This window comes from Homo sapiens, chromosome 19 (assembly GCF_000001405.40).
Source record: "Homo sapiens chromosome 19, GRCh38.p14 Primary Assembly".
Lineage (NCBI taxonomy): Eukaryota > Metazoa > Chordata > Mammalia > Primates > Hominidae > Homo > Homo sapiens.
Window position 1 is genome coordinate 52,296,351 of NC_000019.10, and position 12,809 is coordinate 52,309,159.

Here is a 12,809-nt window from a genome sequence, read left to right on the forward strand (position 1 = left end):
CTGACCTCAAATGATCCACCTGCCTTGACCTCCCAAAGTGCTGGGATTACAGGTGTGAGCCACCTCGCCCGGTTAATGCTTTTTTAAAACCAACAATTGGTGACCTAAATTCTCACTGGCCTTAGCCCTCCATGCCCCTGGTGCTGTCACTAGAAAACTCTCTGGAGCTGAGCACAGGGTTACCTCTGTCCCTCCCGAAAGAACAGGGAATAGAAAAGGAGAGGATTTCTATTCTGCTTTGTGGGCCGTCAGCATGAAATTGCACATTCTGCCCAGGCAGGGCTTTGCAGTTCATGTATTAACTTGCGTCGCTTTCACAGACAATCCCAGGGCTTAATTAAATTGCTAAATTTAGTTTTTTATGTATTTATTTGAGAGACTGAGTCTCTGTCGCCCAAGCTGGAGTGCAGTGGCCGTCATAACTCAGTGTAAACTCGAACTCCTGGGCTCAAGCGATCCTCCCGCCTCAGTCTTCGGGGTAGCCGGGACTACAGGTGCCCGACCGCACGGTCGGCTTAAGATTAACTTTAATAGCAGGAATTTTCCTGGATCTAATCATTAGCCGACTTTGCTCAGTCCCGGCAAGAGTACAGTTCCGAGACAGCTGAGTTGCTCCAGTCTCCTTGACAGGTCTCCCCGGCAAAACCCGGAAAACAGAGGCACTGGAAGCGAGGCGGAGGGAAGCGCAAGCCCCACTCCGCCCCGCCCCCGCCCCCGCCCCCGCCCCCGCCCCCGCCCCCGCCCCCGCCCCCGCCCCCGCCCCCGCCCCCGCCCCCGCCCCCGCCCCCGCCCCGCTCGGACCCCTCCGCTGCGCGCGCAGTTTCCCACAAACCCGGAAGCGGATCGCGTGGAGTGAAGGTCACGCCGCGGCGCGTGAGTTTCCCTTTGTGTAAATTAATCTGCGCTTCCCAACTCCCCCGCGCTTCTGTACCCGGGATCTGAGGGGCCACACAGACCTTGAAATCCTCGCACCGCTCCCTCTACCCCGACCAAATTCAGGCGTCTCCGTGAGAGTCAGGCGGTCGCTTCCCTGTGTGTTTAAATCGCTCGGCGGCGGGTCCTGTCCCCCGTCCTTCTGCCACAGGGCCATGTAGTCACCTCCTGTCGCGGAGTTTTCCTGTTTCAAGTCCTTCAGTGATGCTTACATCCGCCCCGCACAGCGTAAAGTCCTCCCCCGCTAGGCGGATTCCGGTCTATGCGGTCCCCCAAGCCTCGCCTTTGTTGGCCCTGGAGCACAGCGCTCCAATCTCAATCCAGGAGAAGCCGCGTCTTCTGCCCAGTGCTGGGATTCTGCAGACGCCACCCATCTCTTGATCCAGACCCTACCTTTACCCTCCTTGATACGGGGCCCCGCTACTCCCCAGGCCTCCTCTTCCCAGACACCGCTTCTCCTAACCCTGCGTGTGGGGAGGTGACTTACTCTGTCTCTTGACATCCAGTGTTCTTGCGGGCCAAATAACACCCCACTGAAAAGGTGTTCTGCTTGTGGACATCGGATCCCAATTCCTTCCATGTGAATGTGTGCAGAAAGAGAGACGGAGAGCGAGGGAGAAGAAAGAGAAAAATTTTGAAGGAGAAAAGAAGATTGAGGGAGAGCCGTAAGCAGATGGCAAAGTAGAGAGTGGATGGAGGATTTGCAGAGACAGCGAATGAAGCCGAGAAAGTAGCAGGGGGAAAAAAGCAACTGGAGAAATGCAGAGAAAAGTTCCATCTCCGGAGAGATGAAGGACAGCAAGATAGTGAGAGGGGCAGCAAAGTGGGAAGTTCCTCAGTTTGAGAGTGGGGGAGAGGGGGAGGGATTTGGAGCCAGGGCAGACAGAGCAGCGTGGTGCTGGGACAGCAAGAGGAGTCAGCTGGTGACAACGAGAGCAGAGGGAGAACCACAGCAGGTGGAGGCCTGGGATCTCAGGGTGCCAGAGAGTGGGGACAAGGGGGTGTAACAGAAAAGAAGGGATTTAACAGAGAGAGCAGAGGGGGAGTAGAGTCAGGGGAAGAGGCAAGACCGGGCACAGTGGCTCACGCCTGTAATCCCAGCACTTTGGGAGGCCAAGGTGGGTGGATCACGTGAGGTCAGGAGTTTGAGACCAGCGTGGGCAACATGGTGAAACCCCATCTCTACTAAAAATGCAAAAATTAGCCGGGCGTCAGCGCGCGCGTGTAATCCCAGCTACTCAGGAGGCTGAGGCAGGAGAATTGCTTGAACCCGGGAGGCGGAGGTTGCAGTGAGCTGAGATTGCGCCATTGCACTCCAGGCTGGGCGACAAGAGCAAAACTCCGTCTCAGGGAAAAAAAAAAAAAAGAGACAAATAGGTGGAGAATGGGATGATCAAAGATTGAGCAGAAAGTTTGGAAGAGGGGTGAAACAAGTTGCCAGAATGGAGCAGAACAGGTGGAAGAGAAGGAATAGAAGGAAGAAGGGGAGAAACATCAGGAGAAGAGAGGGGCTCAAAATGAGCAGAATCTTAGGGGAAAAATAAAGGGGGAAAAAAGCTAGAGAAAGAAGGTGAGAATGAGAGATACGTACAGAATGAGGGAGGGAAACACAGTACCCAGAAAAGAGGGAACCCTGGGTGCAGATGAACGGTGAGTTGATTGGATATTATGATTAAGTTGTGACATTGATTTATCTATTTATAATTTGATAATATGAAATATACTTTAAAAATACAGATGAAAATGGATATGCAAAACTCCTGTCTGTAAGGCTGGTGCATTTTATAATTCTTGGCATCAGACTTTAGCTTCCACTCACATTCCCTATTCAGGCACAGGTCAGTGACTTGAGTCATTCAGGTGTGGGTCACCCACTTTCCTTTTCCTGGGATGGGGTAGGGTGTGGGCGAGTGTAAAAGATAGCAGGAAAACCAAAGTGTTTTTCCTACTCTTGCAGTCAACACAATAGTGAACACTCAACACAGAATGCTTCATATCTGATGAACAAAATGTGTGGGGATTTCTTCCCACCAACAAGCAATTCGTCAGACACCGCCTGGGTGATCCGTAATTTCAGTCAAGTTGACACTGTCTACTTGAAGTTAGCATCAGATCCCACAGGTTGGGGGCTCAGTTCCACAAGGCTGCCGCTACTTCACGTGCTGGTTGTAAGTTCCTGGTTGGGACCTGAACTTCAACCAAACATCTAAAAATTGAAGATTCCCTTGACCCTTTGCTCAGATTTTATTAATTTGTTAGCCTCATTCACAGAACTCAAGGAAGCATTTTGCTTAGTTTTACCCATTTGCTATGAAGAATATTGCAAAAGATACAGATGACTAGCCCGATGGAAGAACCCTCCTAGCAAATTAATCAAAAGAAGGGGCTTTGGGATACCCTGATTTTTTTTTTCTTTTGTTTTGTTTTGAGACAGAGTTTCACTCTTGTTGCCCAGGCTGGAGTGCAATGGCATGATCTCAGCTCACTGCAACATCCATCTCCCAGTTTCAAGCATTTCTCCTGCCTCAGCCTCCCAAGTAGCTGGGATTATAGGTGTGTGCCACCACGCCCAGCTAATTTTTGTATTTTTAGTAGAGACGAGGTTTCACAATGTTGGCCAGGGTGGAATAAATGGAGTTCAGTACTGTTTGAAGTTCCAGGCATCCAATGGGGGTCTTGGGACATCTTCCCCATGGATACGGGGATTCCAGTGTGTTCTGTCTCTGGTGCTGAGCACCAAGGCTCTGTGTCCTCCATTTCTGAGGGATTACATGAGCCTGGGATCCATAGAGAGGAGAGGAGGGGCTGTGCTCTGCATGGGGTTTGGTCAGGGCTGGGTCTGGCCCTGAAGGGGAGCTTAGACCAGGCCAGCTCCCCACTGCTGCAGCGTGCGTGTGGGCATCTCTAGGAGGGGAGCAGGTTCTGAAGACGAGTAAAAAACTCACTTGTTGTTCTTCCTGTAGGAGTTTCTTGTCTCTGCATCAACTCTGGTGCAGTGGGCAGCAGAGGACATCTTTCCGCAGGGTGAGGTCTAACCTGTGTGTGTGATTGTGGCACAGGAAAAGGGTGTGTTGATTCTAAGCCCTAAACAGCATATTTTTGACATTTAGGATTGACTTCTAAAGAGTCATGCTGTGTGATGAAAAAGCCCAGAAGAGAAGGAAGAGGAAAGCAAAGGAGTCAGGGATGGCTCTTCCTCAGGTGAGATGATATTCTCGGTGGATTGTTCTGTCTCCTTTCTTTCAGAAACGCTGGGCCTTCGAGTTGGGAGTCTTCTCTGAGTCTGAAGTGTCCTGCCTGACAGGTTTGCTCACGCTTACCTATGCCTTCCCTCAGTGCCGAGACCAGCTTGGTCGTGGGGACCCTAACCTAGTGGCACTAGAGGAATTAAAGACACAGACACAAGAATAGAGTGTAAAGTGGGATCAGGGGCCAACAGCCTTCAGAGCTGAGAGCTGCGAACAGGGTTTGACCCACATATTTATTGACAGCAAGCCATTGATAAGCATTGTTTCTATAGATTATAGATTAACTAAAAGCATTCCTTATGGGAAACAAAACATTCTTAGCAAGGAGTAGAGAAACAGTCTTTGGCTAATTATCTGCAGCAAAAACGTGTTAAGGCACAGGCCACTCATGCTATTGTTTGTGGTTTGAGCAGTTTTCCACTCCGGGCAGGCCAGGTGTTCCTTGTCCTGCTCCAGTAAGCCAACAGCTTCTAGCAGTGTGTGTCATAGCCATCACAAGCACGTTTCATTGCTGCAAAAATCCTGCTTATGGCCAATTTCTTTAAAGCCTGTTGCCAGCATGTTCCCCTTTCTGTTTTTGCAAAGTGACAAAGGCAAAGGCTGCTTTGTCACGGTGGGCTACTTCTCACAGGATTCGGGATTCGGGATTTGGATCTGCATGCTACACAAAGACAAACAACACAGATTAAAAGCACAATCATCATTGAAATCAGGGAGCCTCCAATTGTCTTGATCCATTTTAACGGGTTAATAGCTGCTAATCTGTCTGCAGCTCCTTCAAGCTCTTTAGTTCCTGGCATTAGCATCAGATGTGCCTGAGAGGCTTGGAATACTTGTTCCTTCAGTTTTGTAATATCTAAAGATAAATTTCCAGTATGACCCTTTAAATGTCTCTTAACTCTTTCCTACTCATGCTCTGTTTCATTATACAGATGAGGAGTAATGCAAAAATCAGAAGTATTCCAATCACATTGTATCTGCATTCTATATTCTAGACTAACTACTTGATCTCCTAGCCGCATTACAGTTTATCGGAGATCATTGATTTGATTAGCTAGTTTTCAGTCTGTGTTAGTTTGGGAATTCCACTGCAAAGTAGAATTTTTCTGCCAATTATTTACGTAGTCTGCTCTTTGTACTGTGGAATGCAAAGTAACTCCAGCTACCGTGGCAGTAGCTGTGACAGCAATCAATCCCATAATGATTAAAATTAAAGTGGCAATGAAACACCGAGAGTACCTCAAACTCTTTTGAAGAATTTCAGTAATGTATGCACAGAAGGAGAGGCTTCCCAAGGACAGGAAAGCTTTACAGGTATCCATACTCCTTCTCAGGCTCTTACCACTAAAATAGAATGATGAGTATTATACAGGGAAGAATTCAAGAAAACAATGTACATTCTTGACAAGTCACATGATGATTAGGGAGATCAAGTTTTAAATCACTTACTCCAAACAGAAAAGGAGGCCTTATTGTCAGTCTCGACATGGCTGCAACTGGGGGGTCCTCGGGTTCCTCCCAAAATCTCTTCCTCAGCATCTGGCTCATGATAAGGTTTCAGGTGTCTTAATGGTATCCAAATCGGCTGCTGGTTTTGGCCTGGAGATACACAAGCATAACTTCTACCCCAAGTTATTATTTTACCTATTTCCCAACTTTTTGTTATGGGATCTCTCCACCAAACCAGTTCTGCTTCTGTCTTTGCCGCTGATTTCTGTAAATGCTGTTCAGCTGCTGATAGCATTTGGCCTTTAGGCAGGCTCAAAAAATTTAAAGTCAATAATGCTAGATTCAGTTGCATAATTGCAGTTCCATAATCACTGTTCCCCCCTTTGTGTTTTTGTAATTGCTGTTTTAGGGAGAGATTCATTCTTTCCACAATGGCTTGTCCTTGTGAATTATATGGGATGCCAGTAATGTGTTTAATACTCTATATAGAGAAAAATGTAGCTAGAGCTTGGCTAGTACGGCCTTGGGTGTTATCTGTTTTAATAAAAGCTGGAATGCCCATCACTGCGAAGCATTGCAGAAAATGCCATTTAACACAGGCAGAAGAGTCCCTCGTTTGACAGGTAGCCTAAACAAAGTGAGAAAAGGTATCTACACATACATGCACATAAGCCAGTTTACCAAAAGAAGGAACATAAATGACATCCATTTGCCAAACAGAATTAGGTTCCAATCCTCGAGGATTAACTCCTCCTGTAAAAGATGAGGAATGCACCAATTGGCAAGTTGCGCATTGCTGGATAATAGATTTAGCTTCTTTCCAGGTAATGCTGTATCTATGTTTTAGACCAGAGGCATTAACATGGGTTAAATTGTGAAAGTGTCTGGCATTAGATATTGCAGTAGCAACTAGGCGATCAGCCATTTGATTCCCTGCAGTTAAAGGTCCTGGAAAGGGTGTATGAGCTCTAATATGAGTAATGAAAAAGGGTGCATTCTATTCCTAACTGTGGTTTGTAACTGGGTAAATAAAGTCATTAGCTGTTCATCTGTTGAAATCATAACTGAGCATTTTTAATTGTGTGGAATGGACTACATATGAAGAATTAGAAATTACATTGACAGGCATCTTAAAAGCAGTCAGTACCTTAATTACAGCTACAAGCTCCGATTTTTGAGCTGAAGTATAGGGCGTGTGGAAGACTTTAGTTTTTGATCCAGAGTAAGAAGCTTTACTGTTACTAGACCCATCTGTAAAAACATTTTCAGCACTTTTAATTGGTTTAAATTTAGTCATTCTAGGGAGCATCTAGTTAGTTTTAAAAATTGAAATAATTTTGTTTTTGGAAAGTGATTATTAAGCACTCCCACGAAATCAGCTAAGTGGTTTTGCTAAGTAAGATGATTTATAAAGGATTGTTGTATTTGTGCCTTTGTAAGAGGGACAATAATTTTTTCAGGGTCATATCCATGCAGTTTAACAATTCAAATTCTCCCATTCCCTATCAGAGTAGCAATTTGATCCAAATAATGAATTAGAATCCATGAATTCATATGTGGAAGAAAAAGCCATTCTACCAAGTCTGCTTTTGGACAGTAACACCAGTAGGTGAATGCTAAGTTGGAAAAATCAATAAATCTAAAGCCTTTTCTGGATCTATTCTATTTATTTGAGGTTTTATGTACTTGTTTTTCAATGAGTTGTAACTCTGCCTCAGCCTCCTTTGTTAATTGCTGAGGGCTAGTGAGACTAGGATCTCCTTTAAGGATAGAAAATAGATTACTCATGTCATAGGTAGGAATGCCTAGAGCAGGTTGTATCCAATTAATGTCCCTTAGTAATTTTTGAAAGTCATTCAGTGTTTTCAATTGATCCTTATGGTTACTTTCTGTGGCACTACTGTAGTGTCATTTACTAAGGTCCCTAAGTAGGAGTAAGGAGTAGTGGTCTGAATTTTTGTCAGGAGCTATAATTAAACTGGCATGAGAAATCGAATTTTTTAAGTGATCATAATATTGGAGTAATATTTCCTGAGTGGGGGCAGCACAAAGAATATCGTCCATATAATGAATAATATAACACTGAAAATTTTTTATGAGTAGGTTCAATTGCTTGTTCTACATAAGTCTGACAAATTGTTGGACAGTTTAACATGCCTTGTGGCAACACTTTCCAATGAAAACGCTTAGCAGGCTGCAGGTTGTTTACCGCAGGAATTATAAATGCAAACCGTTCACAGCCTTGCTCAGCTAAGGGGATAGTAAAGAAACAGTCTTTTAAATCTATGACTATTAAAGGCCAATTTTTTAGAATCAGCAGGAAAAGGCAGTCCTGGCTGCAATGTCCCCATAGGTTGTATAACTGAATTAATGGCTCTAAGATCTGTCAACATGCTCCATTTATGTGATTTTTTTCTTAATAACAAAGACTGGAGAATTCCAGGGGGAAAATGTTGGAGCTGTGTGTCCTTTTTCTAATTGTTCAGTAACTAAGTCCTCTAAAGCCTCCAGTTTCTCTTTACTTAGCGGCCATTGTTTTATCCAAGTTGGTTTATTTGTTAACCATTTTAAAGGTATAGGTTCTGGAGGCTTAACAATGGCTGCCATGAAAAATTATATCCTAAACCCTGGTGGGAATTTTGTCCTTCTGCTTGAAGTGGTTTCTTTAACCCTTTTAAATTTTTTTCTAATCCCATGCCAGGCACATACCCCATCTCTTGCATCGTATGCTGACTTTGAGGGCTATATAATTGTTCTGGAATGAACGCTTGTGCTCCCCATTGCTGTAATAAATCTCTTCCCCATAAATTTATAGGTACAGCAGTTACAATTGGTTGGCTGGGTGTGGTGGCTCAAGCCTGTAATCCCAGCACTTTGGGAGGCCAAGGTGGGTTGATCACGAGGTCAGGAGTTTGAGACCATCCTGGCCAACATGGTGAAACCCCGTCTCTACTAAAAATACAAAAAAATTAGCCGGGCATGGTGGTGGGCACCTGTGGTCCCAGCTACTTGGGAGGCTGAGGCAGGAGAATGGCGTGAACCTGGGAGGCAGAGCTTGCAGTGAGCTGAGATCACGCCACTGCACTCCAGCCTAGGGGATGGAGCCAGACTCTGTCTCAAAAAAACAAAAAACAAAAAACAGAAGTTACAATTGGTTGAATAGTCCCAGATTGTTCATTGGGTCCTTCACAATGCAATATATAACTGCTTTGATATACTTTAGGGGCTATGCCAACTCCAACTGTGTTAAATCGAGTGGGTTGAATTGGCCACACGGACAGCCAGTGCTGTAGAGAAATGATTGAAATGTCCTCTCCTGTATCTACCAATCCTTTAAATTTTTTTCCTTAATAGTTATTTCACAGGTAGGATGTTTATTAGTAATTTGATTCACCCAGTAAGCTGCTTTGCCTTGTTTATTCGAGCTTCCAAATCCTCCTGTTCATTTAGTTCATAGCACAGGAGCTTCCAAATCCTCTTGTTCGTAGCACAGGAGCTGTGCTATGGGCTCTCCTGGCTCTGCTTTCCAGGGAACAGAAGTAGATATAACAATTTAAATTTCCCCATTGTAATCTGAATCAATGACTCCTGCATGTACTTGCACTCCTTTTAAATTTAAACTAGACCTACCTAGAAGTAATCCTACTGTCCCCACTGGCAAGGGGTGCCACAGACTCCTGTTGGCACTTTTTGCGGGGGTTCCTCAGGCAGAAAGCTCACAGGTTTTGTGCAGCATAAATCTACTACCAGCTATGGCAGGGGACAGGTATTGTATGGGGGTGAGGGAGTGGCCTGAGCTGGAAATGCCCCGGTTTGGAATGAGGCCTGGGACGGGCCCCTCATGGCGTTTCCTGAAATCGGGTTCCCATCTTCATCAAACTTAGAGTGACACTGATTAGCCCAGTGTTTTCGTTTTTTACATTTTGGACATATTTCAGGGTCAGCAGATTTCTTTTTTCCCCCAACTGGCAGCCTGACTTGCTGGTTTTTTCTACATTCTTTTTCAATATGATCATGCTTCCCCCAGTTAAAACAAGCTCCAGGAAGTGGAGTATTTCCTTTACCCACTTTCAGTCCTGCCATTGCCTGGGCTAGCAGAGTAGTCTTATGCAGATTACCTCCAATACCATCACAAGCTTTAATATAGTCAACCAAATGTGCTTTTCCCCTAATAGGTCACAGAGTGGCTTGGCACTCAGGATTGGCATTGTCAAAAACTAATAACCACAACACTACGTCCTGAGCAGCTGAATCTGCAATCACCTTTTTAAGAGACTCCTGTAATCTAGCTATAAAATCTGCATACAGTTCTTTCAGTCCCTGCTTGACAGCACTTGAAGGGTATTGTTCCCTGCCTGAAGTGATTTTTTTCCCAAGCTCTAATGCACACTCCTCTAAGCTGCTCTATGGCATCATCCCACATAACCACTTGTGCATCTAAACCACCCCAGCCACCGACTCCCAAAAGTTGGTCTGCAGTTATATTAATTTGAGGTTGGGCCTGGGCGTTGTGAGCAGCCTGGATGGAAGCTTCATCTGCCCACCAAGTTTTAAATTGTAAGAACTGAGCAGGAGTTAGACAAGCTCAAGTAAGTGCATTGTAGTCAGTAGGAATCATTTGACTGGAGACAGCAACATTCTTTAACAGTCCCATTACAAAAGGAGAACCTGGTCCATATTGATTAATAGCTTGTTTAAATTCTTTAAGTATTTTAAAAGGAAAAGGCTCAAATGTAGCCATCATATTCCCCTGTTGATCAGGTGGGTGTATTCTAACAGGGAACTGCCAAGCATCCATATCACACTCTCATCTAGCTTGCTGGATTCCTGCCTGAATAGAACCGAGAGCAGTTGCTTGAGGCGCTGCTCGAACAGTCACTAGGGCAACTACTTTTTGTCCAGTGTCCTCTGGAAAAGAAAGACCTGGAGGGTGAGGCCACTCTTTTTCTTCAAAATGATGAGGGGGTGTAGACGGGTAGGGACAAACCTCTCCCTCCTTTGCTGCTTTAGCTGGCAAGGAAACCTTCTCTGTCACTTCTTCTGTACTTCATTACACTCCCCTTCTTCCTCTGATTCCTCTTCCTTATCATCTGTGTGGAAAGGCTCCAAGGTGGAATGAACCAGAGCCCACACTGACCAGACAGTTATAGGAATATCCTCAGCGCCATCCTTATATGACTTCTTCAGTGTGCTGCCTACCTTTTCCCAGACCTCTACATTCATAGTTTCTCAGTCCGGATACCAGGGGCAATATTTCTCTACCACACTAAAAACCTGCATGAGTCAGCTAGTGCTAACCTTTACTTTTCCTTTTCTGAGGAGCTGCTGAAGGAGACTCAAATAAGCCTCGTGTCTGCTCGACCCTTGTCCCATTGTTACCCTGATGCTTCTGAGCTCCCCTTCTTACTCACCGCAGGGATTGCTTAAGAGTACTTGGGTGTTCTCCAGTGTAGTTCCACGTTCTCCAGCCGTCACTCTGGTGACCCTTCGACAAGGGTTTGAGCCCCATGTTAGGCGCCACTTGCTCAGACCAGCTCGGTCGTGGGGACCCTAACCTAGTGGCGCTAGAGGAATTAAATACACAGACACAAGAATAGACTGTAAAGTGTGATCAGGGGGCCAACAGCCTTCAGAGCTGAGAGCTGTGAACAGAGTTTGACCCACATTTTATTGACAGCAAGCCAGTGATAAGCATTGTTTCTATAGATTATAGATTAACTAAAAGCATTCCTTACAGGAAACAAAACATTCTTAGCAAGGATTAGAGAAACAGGCTCTGGCTGATTATCTGCAGCAAAAACGTGTTGTTAAGGCACAGGCTACTCATCCTATTGTTTGTGGTTTGAGCAGTTTTCTACTTTGGGCAGGCCAGGTGTTCCTTGCCCTTCTCCAGTAAACCAACAACTTTTAGCAGTGTGCGTCATAGCCATCATGAGCACATTTCATTGCTGCAGAAATCCTATTTATGGCCAGCTTCTTTAAAGCCTGTTTATGACAGGCTTAGGGCCTGTTGCCAGCACCGCAGTCCTTCTAACCTCACTTAGATTCCATCTCCCGTTACCCAGTGACATGAACTGGGGATGAGGCTTCACTGGGCATGGTTCTGGGAAGGGCTCACTCCCTAGCATGGATGGAGATGGGGTGCGGGCCCCATGGTGTTAGAGCTGTTGGGCAGTAGGGATTGTTCAGGGGCCACATCTGACTTCACCGTCACCTCTCTGTAGACCAGAAGCTGCACGTGGAAGTCATGTATTATGCACAAGCACCTAGTAAATTCTAGGAAAGGAGTGAAGGAAGGAAAACGTTTTCTGCTTGATTTTTTTCTTCTTTTTTTTTTTTTTTTTGAGACCGAGTCTTGCTCTGTCATCCAGGCCAGAGTACAGTAGCGCAATCTCGGCTCACTACAACTTCTGTCTCCCTGGTTCAAGCAATTCTTGTGCCTCAGTGTCCCGAGTAGCTGGGATGTCAGGTGCCCACCACCACGCCCAGCTAATTTTTGTATTTTTATTAGAGATGGGGTTTCAACATGTTGTCTAGGCTGGTCCTGAACTCCTGAGCTCAGGTGATCCACCCACCTCAGCTTCCCAAAGTGCTGGGATTATAGGCGTGAGCCACTGTGCCCAGCCTTCCTGCCTGATTTTTACTACAGTTGAAGCTAAACGCCTTTCCCAGTTTTTTATGTCTACCTTGGTTCAGGGAGGACGTTCTCTCATCATTCTCAGCATGTGCCTCTCACAGAGACCGATTTTCCTTTGGGGAGTCTCCTGCACCAGCTGTGTTAAGCAAAAAATGTGATAATTTTGCTCAGAGATTGGAGCAGATTTTTTTTTTTGTCAGAGAGGAGGAAATCATATTCTTGTCCACGAATTATTATTATCATTTTTTCAACATCAAATTATGTATAAATTTGTCTTATAGGAAAACTCCAAATGTACAGGTTAGGCCATCAAATACAAAACATTCCCTGTCCTAAATGTCTATGTGACATGTAAATAATTGTTATGGGAGGGAGCCTTCCACCCTCTCTCAGTCTCACTGGGACCCACTCCTGTCACCTCTGTCAGGAGTGAGAGCAAGTCCTGTAGAATTATATGTATACAGCATTGTGGTGTTTTAAGTAAAATTCTCAGTGATTGTTTTATGATACTTTATTCTGTAAGTTGTGAAAATTTACTCCTT

General features: G+C 45.2%; 1 protein-coding gene across 3 annotated transcripts in view, besides 2 other annotated features; it reads left to right on the top strand.

The window, feature by feature from the left end:
• The window catches only part of ZNF480 (zinc finger protein 480), a 28,754-nt gene continuing 16,763 nt past the window's right edge, over positions 819-12,809 (top strand). For all 3 annotated transcript variants that reach the window (NM_144684.4, NM_001297624.2, NM_001297625.2), the window contains exons 1-2: positions 819-873; positions 4,044-4,134. In NM_144684.4, the coding sequence (NP_653285.2) occupies positions 4,063-4,134 (72 nt within the window). In that variant the 5' untranslated portion in view covers positions 819-873; positions 4,044-4,062. The remainder of the gene's footprint in view (positions 874-4,043; positions 4,135-12,809) is intronic.
• Positions 881-930: an enhancer, noted in NCBI's record as "active region_15044". NCBI's record gives its function as "activates an Ori minimal core promoter by ATAC-STARR-seq in GM12878 lymphoblastoid cells {active_cell/tissue: GM12878}" and the evidence as "EXISTENCE:reporter gene assay evidence [ECO:0000049][PMID:35858748]".
• Positions 1,001-1,050: an enhancer, noted in NCBI's record as "active region_15045". NCBI's record gives its function as "activates an Ori minimal core promoter by ATAC-STARR-seq in GM12878 lymphoblastoid cells {active_cell/tissue: GM12878}" and the evidence as "EXISTENCE:reporter gene assay evidence [ECO:0000049][PMID:35858748]".